The 12,716-nt window shown below is 40.5% G+C and overlaps 1 annotated feature.

Annotated features, from left to right (window-relative positions):
• Positions 4,568-4,647: an enhancer, noted in NCBI's record as "active region_16892". NCBI's record gives its function as "activates an Ori minimal core promoter by ATAC-STARR-seq in GM12878 lymphoblastoid cells {active_cell/tissue: GM12878}" and the evidence as "EXISTENCE:reporter gene assay evidence [ECO:0000049][PMID:35858748]".

Raw genomic sequence — 12,716 nt, 5'->3', positions numbered from 1 at the left:
ACTTCCAACTATGTGGTCAATTTTGGAATAGGTGTGGTGTGATGCTGAAAAGAATGTATATTCTGTTGATCTGGGGTGGAGAGTTCTGTAGATGTCTATTAGGTCCGCTTGGTGCAGAGCTGAGTTCAATTCCTGGATATCCTTGTTAACTTTCTGTCTCGTTGATCTGTCTAATGTTGACAGTGGGGTGTTAAAGTCTCCCATTAGTATTGTGTGGGAGTCTAAGTCTCGTTGTAGGTCTCTAAGGACTTGCTTTATGAATCTTGGTGCTCCTGTATTGGGTGCATATATATTTAGGATAGTTAGCTCTTCTTGTTGAATTGATCCCTTTACCATTATGTAATGGCCTTCTTTGTCTCTTCTGATCTTTGTTGGTTTAAAGTCTGTTTTATCAGAGACTAGGATTGCAATCCCTGCTTTTTTGTTTTGTTTTGTTTTCCATTTGCTTGGTAAATCTTCCTCCATCCCTTTATTTTGAGCCTATGTGTGTCTCTGCACATGAGATGGGTTTCCTGAATACAGCACACTGATGGGTCTTGACTCTTTATCCAATTTGCCAGTCTATGTCTTTTAATTGGAGCATTTAGCCCATTTACATTTAAGGTTAATATTGTTATGTGTGAATTTGATCCTGTCATTATGATGTTAGCTGGTTATTTTCCTTGTTAGTTGATGCAGTTTCTTCCTAGCATCAATGGTCTTTACAATTTGGCATGTTTTTGCAGTGGCTGGTACCGGTTGTTCCTTTCCATGTTTAGTGCTTCCTTCAGGAGCTCTTTTAGGGCAGGCCTGGTGATGATAAAATCTCTCAGCATTTGTTTTTCTGTAAAGGATTTTATTTTTCCTTCACTTATGAAGCTTAGTTTGGCTGGATATGAAATTCTGGGTTTAAAATTCTTTCTTTAAGAATGTTGAATATTGGCCCCTACGCTCTTCTGGCTTGTAGAGTTTCTGCCGAGGGATCCACTGTTAGTCTGATGGGCTTCCCTTTGTGGGTAACCCAACCTTTCTCTCTGGCTGCCCTTAACATTGTTTCCTTCATTTCAACTTTGGTGTATCTGACAATTATGTGTCTTGGAGTTGCTCTTTTTGAGGAGTATCTTTGTGGTGTTCTCTGTATTTCCTGAATTTGAATGTTGCCTGCCTCACTAGGTTGGGGAAGTTCTCCTGGATAATATCCTGAAGAGTGTTTTCCAACTTGGTTCCATTCTCCCTGTCACTTTCAGGTACACCAATCTGACGTAGATTTGGTTTTTTCACATAGTCCCATAATTCTTGGAGGCTTTGTTCATTTCTTTTTACTCTTTTTTGTCTAAACTTCTCTTCTTGCTTCATTTCATTCATTTGATCTTGAATCACTGATACCCTTTCTTCCACTTGATCAAATCAGCTACTGAGGCTTGTGCATGCATCACGTAGTTCTCGTGCCATGGTTTTCAGCTCCATCAGGTCATTTAAGGAGTTCTCTACACTGGTTATTCTAGTTAGCTATTCATCTAATCTTTTTTCCAAGGTTTTTAGCTTCTTTGCGATGGGTTCGAACATCCTCCTTTAGCTCAGAGAAGTTTGTTATTATCGATTGTCTGAAGCTGTCTTCTCTCAACTCATCAAAGTCATTCTCCATCCAGCTTTGTTCCATTGCTGGTGAGGAGCTGTGTTCCTTTGGAGGAGAAGAGGTGCTCTGATTTTTAGAATTTTCAGCTTTTCTGCTCTAGTTTCTCCCCATCTTTGTGGTTTTATCTACCTTTGGTCTTTGATGATGGTGATGTACAGATGGGGTTTTGGTGTGGATGTCCTTTCTGTTTGTTAGTTTTCCTTCTAACAGTCAGGACCCTCAGCTGCAGGTCTGTTGGAGTTTGCTGGAGGTCCACTCCAGACCCTATTTGCCTGGGTATCACCAGCGGAGGCTGCACAACAGCAAATACTGCAGAACGGCAGATGTTGCTGCCTGATCCTTCCTCTGGAAGCTTCATCACAGAGGGGCACCCGGCTGTATGAGGTATCAGTCGGCCCCTACTGGGAGGTGTCTCCCAGTTAGGCTACTTGGGGGTCAGGGACCCACTTGAGGAGGCAGTCTGTCCGTTCTCAGATCTCAGACTCCATGCTGGGAGAACCACTACTCTCTTCAAAGGTATCAGACAGGGACGTTTAAGTCTGCAGAAGTTTCTGCTGCCTTTTGTTCAGCTATGCCCTGCCCCCAGAGGTGGAGTCCACAGAGGCAGGCAGGTCTCCTTGAGCTGTGGTGGGCTCCACCCAGTTCGAGCTTCCTGGCAGCTTTTGTTTACCTACTCAAGCCTCAGCAATGGTGGACACCCCTCCCCCAGCCTTGCTGCTGCCTTGCAGTTTTATCTCAGACTGCTGTGCTAGCAATGAGTGAGGCTCTGTGGGTGTGGGACCCTCCAAGCCATGCACGGGATATAATCTCCTGGTGTGCTAAGGCCATTGGAAAAGTGCAGTATTCGGGTGAGAGTGTCCCAATTTTCCAGGTACCATCTGTCACGGCTTCCCTTTGCTAGGAAAGGGAATTCCCTAACCCCTTGTGCTTCTCAGGTGAGGCGATGTCCCGCCCTGCTCCGTGGGCTGCACCCACTGTCTGACAAGCCCCAGTGAGATGAACCCAGTACCTCAGTTGGAAATGCAGAAATCACTTGTCTTCTGTGTCGCTCATGCTGGGAGCTGCAGACTGGAGCTGTTCCTATTCGGCCATCTTGGAACCTCAAGATATTCAAATATTTAAAGAAAAACATGAACATATTGAGAAAACAGAGTATTTCAACAGAGAAATGAAATCTTTAAAAAAAGAAGCAAATAGAAATTATAATACTGAAAAATATGGCATATAAAATGAAAATATCACAAGATAGGTTTACCATTACTGAAGCAAAAACTTGAAGACAGGCCACAAGAACTATGGAAAACTGAAGCAGAGAAGGGAAAGATTGAAAAAAAAGTGAATGAAGCCTCAGCGACCCATGAAACATATGAAGTCTCTCTCTCTCTCTCTCTCTCTCTCTCTCTCTCTCTCTATATATATATATATATATATATATATATATATATGATAGATAGATAATCAGGAGGAAGGAGAAGGAACAGATTGGAGCAGAGAAACATTTAAAGAAATATTGGTCCAATATTTTCCAAATTGAATGAAAAATATAATGTAATAAAATTGATGAATATGAAGCAAGATGAACACAAAACTGCATCATCTTATAATCAAACTGCTAAAAGTCGATGATAAAGAGAAAATATTAAAAGCAACCAGAAAAAAGGCACATTACGTAGAGGTAAACAATATCAAGAATAATTGCTGACTTCTGAGAAAAGAAATACAGCTCAGAGCAGTCTGAGCTCTGTGAGGTGTGCACAATTCGTCAGGCCCAGAGAGACAGGAGTATGGGACTTCAGCCACACACCTCAATCCCTTCCTGCATCCATGTGCAGGCATGACTGTTTAAAGGTATTTTTTTCCCGACTGGGCATGGTGGCATGTTTGTGCCTGTTGTCCTAACTACTCAGGAGGCTGAGGCACAGGGATCACTTGAGCCCATGAGGTCAAGGCTGCAGTGAGCTATGATTGCACCACTGTACTTCAGTCTGGGCACAGAGCCAGACCTTGTCTCTAAAAAATATATATATATATATAACCACTTGTAATTGCTGTAACTGCTGCTAACCAGAGCATATATTTGAGCAACTTGAATCCCTAGGCTCCTGGGTTGCAGTGCTCAAACTTGGCTTAAATAAACTCTTTATTAATTTGTCCTCAGTTTTTTCCTTTTAGATTGACACTTCTCAGTAACAATACAAGCCAGAACTAATGGATACTTTTGGCCCATCACTTGGACCACTTCAATCCATGTGTATCTCTTCAGGTATGCTGTATGATGTTCTTACAGACAGAATCTGTATAGTGCTATTTCTAGCCAGCCTCCAACCCCAGGAATCTGGCTTAAATAAATCCAAGTAGTAAAGCCAGGAACATATCATATGTTATGGAAATTATGCATCAGGTGGAAAAATATCTTAGAGTTGTGGGAATACTTTGATATATGTTCTTATTAATCATCAATGTGCTATATAACAGAATGCATGCTGCTTTAAATTTTAAAACCGTTTGTGGAGAAAAAAAAAAGAACTTACCACCTGGCTGGGTGCAGTGGCTCACACCTGCAATCCCAACACTTTGGGAGGCCGAGGCAGGGGGATCACCTGAGGTCAGGAGTTCGAGACCACCTGACCAATATGGTGAAACCTTGTCTCTACTAAAAATACAAAAATTAGCCAGGTGTGGTGGCATGCGACTGTAGTCCCAGCTACTCGGGAGGCTGAGGCAGGAGAATTGCTTGAACCCAGGAAGTGGAGGTTGCAGTGAGCCGAGATCGTGCCATTGCACTCCAGCCTGGGCAACAAAGTGAGACTCCGTCTCAAAAACAAACAAACAAACAAAACAACAACAACAAAAAAACTATTCGTGGCTAATAATCTAATGTGTTCAGAAGAGAAACCCTAGTACAAGAAAAAGAATTCTGTGTGAAGAACTATGTGAAGAACTGTGTGAAGAAACTATGATATAGAAAGTCAGAAGATATTGTACATTACTTGTTCTAAAGCATCCTGAGAAAGCAATATTAAGATCTCAGAAGTAAGTACCAAGAAAAAAATGATGTTGGTTTCAAAAGTAGTAAAAGAAATGAGTTTAGGCCTGCCATGGTGGCTCACACCTGTAATCTCAGCATTTTGGGAGACTAAGGCAGGAGAATTGCTTAAGGTCAGGAGTTAGAGACCAGCCCGGGCAATACAGGGAGACCTCATCTCTACAAAAAATAAAAATATTAGCTGGGCATGGTGGCACATGCCTGTGATCCCAGCTACTCAGGAGGTGGAGGTCGGAGAATCACTTGAGCCCAGGAAGTCGAGGTTGCAATGAGCTATGATCACACCACTGCACTGCAGCCTGAGCGGCAGAGTGAGAAGCCTGTCTTGGGGGAAAAGGAAAACGAAAACAAAATGAGTTTATTCAGGCTGCAGAAGTTCAAGTCAAAGGAAAGCTTAGAAATTTTATTTACATCAAGATAAAGAAGTTTAAAGCATATGATTATTAAATATTTCGTTGGAAGATAGCATTTAATGACAGAGAAAATAGTTACGATATTATTATATAGAAATAACAAGTCACACATTAGTAATGGATGTGGTATCATCCAGTAATAGAGAAAGTAGGCTTAAAGGTAATTTTTACTTTCTTCTTTTTGCTTTTTTGTATACCATTATGCATTTTCTACAATAAACATTTTTTTAGGTTTGTACATTGCTTAAAAATGTTTGTTAGACTTTATTATTTTAAGAGGAGTTTTAGCTTTACAGCAAAATTGAGCAGATGGGTACACAGACTTCCATATGCACCACCACCTCCTCCCACCCGCAGGCATGGCTCCCAATTATCAACACTGCCCACAGAGTTGCATGTTTGTTACAACTGATCAACCTATACTGGCATATCATGATCACCCAAATTTTATAAACATGTTATTATTTTTAATATATTTTATCTTTTGAACAGTTTTAGGTTTACAGAAAAATTAAGTGGAAAGTACAGAGAGTTCCCATATTCCCCTTCACTTCCCCCACCCCAGATTCCATTATCAATAATACTAGTATTAGTGTCATATAGTTGTTACAGTAATGAGCAAATATTGATACATTATTAACTAAAGTCTGTAGCTTACATTAAGGTTTACACTTTGTGTTGTACATTCTATGGTTTTGACAAATGTATATTGAACTATATCCATTGTTACAGTATCAATTCATTATTTTTGTAATTAGAAAAATGGTTATAAACACAAAATTAATGATTATTACATAGATGATAGTGATAGTATCTCAGGCTATAGAGATAAGCTATTGCTTAATTCCACTGAAAACAGAATAGCTCTGGGAGTTCATTTCTATTTATTGCTTCTAATAATAATACCAATGGCTTAACCTAGAAAAATATTATCTTTCCCTATTAATTTATGTATGTACCCTTTGGGTCTGAGAAGGCAATTAGTTTCATTGAGGTCATTCTTAAAAAAAAAAATAGAACAATTGGAAGATTTTTACATCTTTTCAATTACATGTCTAAAACTATGCCAGGCACATTTGGGGGTCTCTAGTGCCTGGGATGATGAGAGAAGACCTTGTACAGAAGATGATCTTTGAACTAGAACTTAAAGAATAAGTAAAAATGGAAAAAGAAAACAATAAAAGGAAAAGGAGAGTAGCATCCATGCAAACTGTAATGGTTAATACATTACATTAGAGGGTTATACTGTGTGAATTCTTGTTAAAAAAGAATAGATCTTTGTTGGATGTTTGAGTAAAAGCTTAATAGACGGAGTGCCTTTAAGTTGGGTTGTGATAAAATTAGACAAAGAAAAATACAGAGGAAAAGTAAAAGTAAACTCAGCCGCCTGGGTGTGGTGGTTCATGCCTATAATCCCAGCACTTTGGGAGGCCGAGGTGGGCAGATCCCTTAAGGTCAGGAGTTCAAGACCAGCCTGGCCAACATGGTGAAACCCATCTCTACTAAAAATACAAAAATTAGCTTGGTGTCATGGCAGGTGCCTCTAGTCCCAGCTACTAGGGATGCTGAGGCAGGAGAATCACTTGAACCCGGGAAGTGGAGGTTGCAGTGAGCCAAGATCATGCTACTGCATTCCAGCCTGTGTAACAGAGTGAGACTCTGTCTCGAAAAAAAAATAAAATAAATAAAATAAATTCAGTCAAAATGTGGAGGATCAAAATCTGAGGAGTGATTCTATGATAAGTAATACAGAGAGTGCATATAGAAGAGGTTTGTGGGAGATAAAGCTTGGTTGGTGACAAGGAAGGACTTGATGGATAGTCTTCCGAGACGGGGTTTGATCACAGCAAACCCGAGATGGAGTCATTCTGTATTATATTAACGTTTTCTGCATTTAAATCTGTATATTGGATAGACTGGGGACAAAAAAAAAAGAGACAAAGACCCATACAATTATCTAGGCGTCCAGAGCCTACATTTAAAAAGTGACATAGGACTAGAAAGAAAGGATGATCTGTAAGACATTTCTATGAAAAAGTAGTATCAGGAACTAATGACTTGTATTAGTCTGTTTTTTCATGTTGCTGATAAAGACATATTCAGGACTGTGAAGTAAAAGAGTTTAATAGGACTTGCAGTTCCGCATGGTTCGGGAGGCTTCAGAATCATGGCAGGAGGTGAAAAGGACTTCTTAAATGGCAGCAGAAAGAGAAAAATGAGGAAGATGCAAAAGCAGAAACCCCTGATAAAACCATCAGATCTCGTGAGACTTATTTACTACCACAGGAACATTATGGGAGAAACCACCGCCATGATTCAAATTATCTCCCACCAGGTCCCTCCCACAATACATGGGAATTATGGGAGTGGAATTCAAGATGAGATTTGGGTGGGGACACAGAGCCAAACCATATCATTCTGTCACTGCCCCCTCAAATCTCATGTTCTCACATTTCAAAACCAATCATGCCTTCCCAACAGTCCCCCAAAGTCTTAACTCATTTTGGCATTAACCCAAAAGTCCACAGTCCAAAGTCTCATCTGAGACAAGGCACGTCCCTTCTGCCTATGAGCCTGTAAAATCAAAAGCAAGATACTTCCTAGATAAATGGGGGTACAGGTATTGGGTAAATACAGGCATTCTAAATGGGAGAAATTGAACAAAACAAAGGGGTTACAGGGCCCATGCAGGTCCAAAATCCAGCAGGGCAGTAAAATTTTAAAGCTCCAAAATGATCTCCTTTAACTCCAGGTCTCACATCCAGGTCACACTGATGCAAGAGGTGGGTTCTCATAGTCTTGAGCAGTCCACCTCTGTGGCTTTGCAGGGTAAAGCCCCACTCCTGGCTGCTTTCACGGGCTGATGTTGAGTGTCTGCAGCTTTTCCAGGCATACAGTGCACGTTGTTGGTGGACCTACCATTCTGGGGTCTGGAGGATGGTGGCCCTCTTCTCATAGCTCCACTAGGTGGTGCCCCAGTAGGAACTCTGTGTGTGGGGGGGCTCTGATCCCACATTTCCCTTCCATGCTGCCCTAGCAGAGGTTCCCCTGAGGGCTCCACCCCTGCAGCAAACTTCTATCTGGGCATCCAGACGTTTCCAGTCATCTGAAATCTGGGTGGAGGTTCCCAAGCCTCAATTTTTGACTTCTGTACACCCGCAGGCTCAACACCATGTGGAAGCTGCCAAGGTTTGGGGCTTGCACTGTCTGAAACCATAGGCCGAGCTGTACCTTGGCCCCTTTTAGCAACAGCTGGAGCAGCTGGAACACAGGGAACCAAGTTTCTAGGCTGCAGACAGCATGGGGACCCTGGGCCCAGCCCAAAACCATTTTTTCCTCTTAGACTTCTGGGTCTGTGGTGGGAGGGGCTGCCATGGAGACTTATGACATGTCCTGGAGACAATTTCTCCCTTGTCTTGGGGATTAACATTTGACTCCTTGTTACTTACACAAATTTCTGCAGTCTGCTTGAATTTCTTTTCAAAAAATGCATTTTTCTTTTCTACTGTATCATCAGGCTGCAAATTTTCTGAACTTTTATGCTCCGTTTCCATTTTAAAATGGAATGTTTTTAACAGCACCCAAGTCACCTTTTGAATGCTTTGCTGTTTAGAAATTTCTTTGCCCAATACCCTAAATCATCTCTTTCAAGTTCAAAATTCCACAAATCTGTAGGGCAGGGCAAAATGCCACGAGTCTCTTTGCTAAAACATAACAAGGATCACCTTTGCTCCAGTTCCCAAAACTTCTTCAACTCCATCTGAGACCAACTCAGCCTGGACCTTATTGTTCATATCACTATCAGCATTTTTGTAATAGTCATTCAACAAATCTCTAGGAGGTTCCAAACTTTACCAATTTTCCTGTCTTTCTGAGCCCTCCAAACTGTTCCAGCCTCTGCCTGTTACCCAGCTCCAAAGTTGCTTCCACATTTCGGGTATCTTTTTGGCAACAACTCACTCTAGGTACCAGTTTACTGTATTAGTCTGTTTTCACACTGTGGATTAAAGACATACCCGGGACTGGGAAGAAAAAGGGGTTTAATTAGACTTACTGTTCCACATGGCTGGGGAGGCCTCAGAATCATGGTGGGAGGCTAAAGACACTTCTTACATGGTGGCGGCAGGAGGAAAATGAGGAAGATGCAAAAGTAGAAATCCCTGATAAACCCATCAGATCTTGTGAGACTTATTCACTACCATGAGAACAGTATGGGGAAACTGCTCCCATGACTCAAATCATCTCCCACCAGCTCCCTCCCAGAATACGTGAAAATTATGGGAGTACAATTCAAGATGAGATTTGGGTGGGGACACAGAGCCAAACCATATCATGACTGGAGTAGAATTTGAAGAACAGAGAGAAAAACCAAGATGAACCCAAGATATTGAACTTAGAATACTGGTGAGGCTGAAGGTGAAATTAAAAAAGTGGGGAGGAAAGAGCAGTCTTAGACCTGTAGTTTTGGACAGTAATTAGAGGGAAAAGTCATGGAGGTAATTGGACACAAAAGAAAGGCATCCAAGTGAGAGAGAACACAGCAGGGAACACAAACTCAGGAGCCATAAGCATCAAGGTGAGAAATGAAACTTTGAGAGTAGATGAGCACTTGGCTGAGAACTGAAGGGAGAGAGTTCCCCCAGGCCTTTAAGGGATATCTGGAAAAGGAGGAACAGCAATGGAAGAAGAGCCAGAAAAGGAAGTGTGAGAGAACTAGGGGAATGAGGCTAGACAGTAATGACCAGAAAGGAGTAATTTTAAGAAGGAGGTGACAACATCAGCTTCTGAATAGTAGTTAAGAAAAATTAGAAGGGGGTCAAGGACATTAATAATATTAAGTGTATTTCAACGGACTGTGGAAATAGAAGCTGGATTATAGAGGGTTTCCAAAGAGATCAAATGGTGGGGAAATAGATTCTAAGTGGGTAATGACCACTCATTTGAGGATTTGGGATTTGAAAGGAAGGAGAAAATGATGTAGAATTAGAAAAAAAAAAGTCTATTCAACATATATTTTAGCAGCTAAGAAACTCATGAATGATTAAAAGCAGAAGGGAAGGAGTCTATTTCCATATTCTTTTCTGCATGTATTTTTTATTTTAAACTTGTAGCCATAGCCTGGTGTGGTGGTGCACATCTGTAATCCCAACTACTCAGGAGGCTGATGTGCGAGGATGGCTTGAACTTAGGAGTTTGAGACTACAGTGATCTAAGATCTCATTACCTGAGTATTCTTTTGAAAATATATTACCAGGCAATTATTTTGAAAATAATGTTGTTTCATTATAATTTTTACTATTTGAAAGTATAGTCCTGTATTGTCTTCTTGAAGAACATGCAACCTTGCCTAGGTGCTCCTTAGGGAAAAACTGGGCCCACTGTAAAGTGGAGTCACACTGCAAGTGGGTCACAGAGCTGCTAACAAGCGGTAAGAATTTAGGATTATTACTTTTCTTTTTTTTCTTGAGACAGTCTCATTCAGTTGCTCAGTCTGGAGTGCAGTGGCGTGATCTTGGCTCACTGAAACCTCTGCCTCCTGGGTTCAAGCCATTCTCCTGCCTCAGCCTCCTGAGTAGCTGGGACTACAGACACACACCACCATGCCTGGCTAATTGTTGTATTTTTAGTAGAGATGGAGTTTTACCATGTTGGCCAAGCTGGTCTTGAACTCCTGACCTCAAGTGACCCACTTGCCTTGGCCTCCCAAAGTGCTGGGATTACAGGCATGGGCTACCATGGCCAGCCAGGGTTACTACTTTTTTGTGTTATAGTTTGACACTCAGAAAACAGATCATCCATTTCATGTTTGATTTTTTATCCTTCATGACATTGAGGAACATTCAAATTCCAGCTTCAGCACCCTTTTATTCTGCAGTTTGAATGATAAATAATAAAACTTCAGTTTCTGCTTCAGTTCTTTGTATCATAAAAATGGAGTTATATTTACAGATGTCAAATTATCATGCATACATTTCATGACCAATAATAAGATTTGACTAAGGGATTTTCAAAGAAAAATGATCTACTGGTGATGAATATTTATCATATACTCTTTGCTACATTATATCGTAGGTGATGGCCATTACTTCATGGCAACTGTAATCTGTTCCAATTGAAAGTGAAACTCGGCAAAAACCATGGCCTTGATCTGGATGGTGAAACAAACAAAACTATGGCATGAGTACCAGAGTAAACCACACAAATAGAAGCCTAATATGTTATATATTTTAGTTATTTCTTTTTAATAATCTACAATTTTAAGGAAAAAGGTAATTTTCAGATGCTATCAGCAAAATGATTCAATCTGTATCTATACACTTATACCCTTGATGAGTTCTGTTATCAAACTGCATGCAACAAAATAAATTGAAGGAAAACTGACCTGGAGATACATTCAAGTATGTGTTGAACGTCTGCTTCAAGTGGAGCATTGTGAAATGTGCTAAAATGAAAAGCTATGAAATAGGGCATGACTTCTGCTTTAAAAACCTACCTAGTTAGAGAGATACAGGTAAATGAAATGATTAAGTAGAAATGAAAAGAATGTGTTGTCAGATGATTGAATTGGATAAATGTTATAGGTGTTTGTAAAGGTGATTTCAGTTAGGCTGGGAATGTCTTTTGGGGAAAGGAGGATTTGAACTGCACCTTTATGGGGGTGGGGAGGTAGAATTTACATTTACGGAGGGAAAAGGGAAGTTATTCTCTTCTGGGACTACAGCCCTTGCCTGACTTGCAGTGGCCTCCCTCTCCTCTCCCTTCTTCCAAGCCCATATTCAGGAGTAGCTGATCATGGACCGTGTAGGACCTTGGTGAGATTCTATACCTGGCCTAGTGGTGTAGAGTTGTGTAGAGCACAGGGCCATACAGCTCTGACCACGTGTACTTTTGCAAGTCTGCCTTATAAATGTGACCCAGGTCACATTCTGCACTTATCACCAGCACTTGACAAATACTTCAGAACACATAATCTATGAACATATGATTTATAAAACCATTTTAAAATATAAAGCATTTCAGATAGAAGGAAAGAGGAAGGCACAGGGAAGTTGGAATATCTGCTTTGTGCTAGGAACTAAGCTAGCTGCTTTTCATAATTCTCTGAATTAATGCTCACAACAATTCTAAAAGGTTGCAATTCCAATTTAGAGAAAAGAAAATGGTCGTTTACAGATGCAAAGTAACTTCTTCACTTTCACCAACCAGTAGAGACAAAGTCAGGATTTATACCAACTCTAATTCCAGAAAACAGTCTCTTTTCCTACACCATAATCCTCCCCTAGAGATAGAAAATATATTTTTTTCTCTTTAATTATCAGAAGCACTTTAGTGTTGAGGTTATGGAAAAGAGAACTTATTAAGCTAGTTACAAGGTCAAATAAAGTATTCGGTAGGGTAGGAACAGTTGGATAGGGCTCACACTCAATCTTTGATTGGAAAAAAGGACTTTTTTTTTTTTTTTTAGCATGTTTTAAGAAAGATTACCAAAGTAAATAAAGAGAAAGTTTTCTAGTTGCCCCAAGCAATCATGAAAACACTACATATCTATGTGATTACTTAGCAAAGTCAAAAAGCATTTTATTGGGCAAATAAAAAGTCCAGAATGAACTCTGTGCCCATGACCTTTAAGCCACCTGAAAAA

This window comes from Homo sapiens, chromosome 2, assembly GCF_000001405.40.
Source record: "Homo sapiens chromosome 2, GRCh38.p14 Primary Assembly".
Taxonomy (NCBI): Eukaryota; Metazoa; Chordata; class Mammalia; order Primates; family Hominidae; genus Homo; species Homo sapiens.
The sequence above is the reverse complement of the archived record's forward strand: the minus strand, read 5'-3'. Positions and strand labels throughout refer to the sequence as shown.